We start from the raw sequence: 3,605 nt of genomic DNA, 5'->3' as shown, positions 1-3,605 counted from the left end.
TGGCTCTTGAATAAAAAGGAACAGTGAAACAGTGCACTTGGAAATACATGTCTAATGCAAAAATAATACACATTTTGTCTCCATTTGGACTGTACTTCCAGGTAGAGGTTGTGCTCAATGAGAATCAAGTTGAAAATGTTTCTCTGGTCCCATTTAAAAGGTTATACATAATGAGATTTCTGCCGTTGTGGGAAAGTTAAGAATTCTGGGTGACTTGCCAAATCTTTTGATCGCAAAGAGTGCTTTTAATACACATTGCAAAGCGTTTGTCTTTGCAAGGTGTAAAATGCCAAAGCTCAGCTTCCTTTTTTAGTGTCTGATACTCTCCATAGCATCATTTATCTTCAATTTCCCAGCAGTGTTAACTCTTTAAGCTCAGTAGCAACAGAGCTACATGTAGATACATATGACTTCAGTCTAGGGGTCAGTAGAGTTACCTCTGCAGTTTTACCCACACTTGGGATTCAGAGACTATGACAAGCAGCAAAACAATTTGTCTTTTCAATTAATCAGTACTGTTGTTGAGCACCATATACATTCTCAGGCCATTTCTAAGAAATATGGCACATGATCAGTGCTCTCAGAAGAGGATGTAAAGCCTATGATATTTATAGAATTTCCTAGAAGGGTATATAAGAGACTGATAATATTGGATGCCTCTGATGAGACAAAGGGGAGAAAGGGAAAGGCTCCTCTTCACTATTTACCCTTTAATACCGTTGAATTTACACAATTTGCTTCATTTACCTATTTAAAAATAAAATATACAATGACAACTTAAAAGTTGGTTTGAAGGTAAACATTTATCGGTAGGAAACAACTAAAATGCAATTTCACAGTGTGTGTCAGATGTTTAGTGTCACATAGATTCTAGGCCCTAGAAAAGGGAAGGAAGAAGAATGAAAACTGGAATAATTAAGGACGATTTATCCAGGTCTCTTGCACTGCTTGTAGATTATGAATGAGGTCATGCACACATGGACCACAGTATTCAAAAAGTCCTCAGTCATTTTGGGTAGTCCACAAAGGTGACTCAAATACACTCACTAGCATCCTTCTGAAATCTCTGCCCTTGCCCTTTAGGCATGTGCTCTGTGTGCCCACAGTTGGGGCAGAGCCTGGGCACTGCTGTTTCTGTCCATCTTGCTCCTGCCTGGGGTGCATCTCCGCCCACAACACTGCGAGATGTTTAAGCTAAGCCAACACCTCTACAATTCACTCACTGCTCATCCTGCAGGTGTCACAGCAAAGAATGGCCTTCTGGAACTCCAGCTCTATGCTACACTTTGTCACCTGGAGTTTCTCAGATTTCACAAGCTCTATCATGGAAACAATTTTTTAACCACCTCTGTACTGTCAATTACAGCTGGTCTGTTCTCTGCATAAGGCTGGTCATGGAATGAATACCAGGCTGTTCTCACACTGTTCACTCTTTCCTGACCCTCCTTTCAGAAGCCCACATATAAATTACTGCCAGGAATATGGTTTCATGCAAAAATATAACTGGATAGACCAGTTCACCATATATGCAAAATATACTTATATATAGACTGTACATATGACATTAATAGGAGATAGTTATATGTTTTTATTTACAAATGAATCATGCAATGCTATATGCTTGTTAAATTTACATTCATTACATTTTATTCTGAAACTTTTATGATAGATGCAGTGCTGGAGAAACAGACCCCAACTCAATGGCACATCCCATGAAATTTATCAGATGGACTTAATTATCTCCAATTTATAAGGACATGAAAATTAATCTCTTCAAAAATATTGAAAGGCAAGTTTCAAGAAAAACATTTCACATATTCCAACTCTTAGCACATCTTTTGTTTTGAATCCTCTTATTAAAAAGAACTTTTTAATGGTGTACCACAGCTCCCATTTTTTTCCCACAGTTTCACAAACACTTGTTATATTTTGTCTTTTTGATAGTAGCCATTCTAACAGGTGTGAGGAAATATTTCATTGCAGTTTTAATCTGCATTTCCCTGATGATTAGGGATGTTGAGCAATTGCGTCTCCTTTTGGAAAATTTTTATTCAAATCCTTTTTACACTTTCAATTAATTGTTTTCATAGCAACTGAGTTGTTTAAGTTCTTTATATATTTTAGATATTAACTCCTTTTCAGATGTATGGTTTGCAAATATGTTGTCCCAATCTGCGGGTTGTCTCTTCACTCTGGTGATTATTCCTTTTCCCATGCAGCAGCTTTTTAGTTTGCTGTAATCCTCTTTGTCTATTTTTGCTTTTGTTGCCTGTACTTTGGGGTTCATACCCAAAAGCTGCCCACTAAATTTTCTTTTAGTAGTTTTACAGTTTTCAGGTCTTATATTTAAGTCTTTAATCTATCATGAGTTGATTTTCTATGTGGTGTGAGATAGGGTGTAATTTCATTCTTCTGCATGTGGATATCAAGTTTTCCCAATACCATGTATTGGAAAGGTTTGTAGACTCACAGTGGGAATATAAATTAGTACAGCTATTATGGAAAACAGCACAATAGTCACTTCTTATTCATAAATGATACATTCCAAGACCCTCTGCAGATGCCTAAAACCACAAGTAGTACCAAATCCTATTTACGCAGTCAGGCACCCCCATAGCTACATTTCTGTCAACAATAAACTGTATATTCAACACCAATTTCATAAGATTATAGTGGAACTAAAAAATTCCTACCATCTACTGATTTTGTAGCTGTTCTAACATTGAAGCAAAATGTATTAATCACATGTTTGTGTTGGTACTGGTGTAAACAAACCTACTGCACTGTCAGTCATATAAAAGTCCAGCACATATGATTATGTACAGCACATAATACTTGATAATGATAATAAATTACTATGCTGCTGGTTTATAGAGTTACTATACTATAATTTTTATCATTATTTTAGAGCATACTCCTGTTTATTTTTTGAAAGCTAACTCTAAAACAGCCTCAGGCAGGTCCTTCAGAAGGCATTAAGAAGAAGGCATTATTGTCATAGGAGATGACAGCTCCATGTATGTTATTGCCCCTGAAGACCTTCCAGTGGAACAAGATGTGGAGGTGGAAGACAGTGATATTGATGATCCTGACCCTGGAAACAGAGCATAAAAGTTTAAAAAAATTGCAGCCTGACAATGCCATAGAAAAGAAAAACCTAATTTTCTGGAGAAATTCAAGCCACCTGCAGAAATTTGCATAGATAAATAAGAGTCACCAAGATAATAGGAAAAATGCCTTCAGGGCATGTCAGAGAACTTCACAGCAGCTCTTCTCATCACAGGCCTGGAGGCCTAAGAGGGAAAAACGCTTTCATGAACTGGCTCCAGGGCCCCCTTGCTCTGTGCAGCTTCAGGACATGGTGCCCGGCAGCTCAGCTGCTTTAGCTCCAATAGGACCAAGGTACAGCTCAGGCCATTGCTTCAGAGGGTGAAAGCCTTAAGCCTTGGCAGCTTCCATGTGGTGTTGGTCCTGTGGGTGCACAGAAGACAAGAATTGAGGTTTGGGAACCTCCACCTACATTTCAGAGGATGTATGGAAACACCTGGATGTCCAGAGAGAAGTTTGCTGCAATGGTGGAGCCCTCATGGAGAACCTCTGCTAGG

The sequence above is a fragment of the Homo sapiens genome, chromosome 18 (assembly GCF_000001405.40).
Source record: "Homo sapiens chromosome 18, GRCh38.p14 Primary Assembly".
In the NCBI taxonomy this organism is placed as follows: domain Eukaryota; kingdom Metazoa; phylum Chordata; class Mammalia; order Primates; family Hominidae; genus Homo; species Homo sapiens.
The sequence above is the reverse complement of the archived record's forward strand: the minus strand, read 5'-3'. Positions refer to the sequence as shown.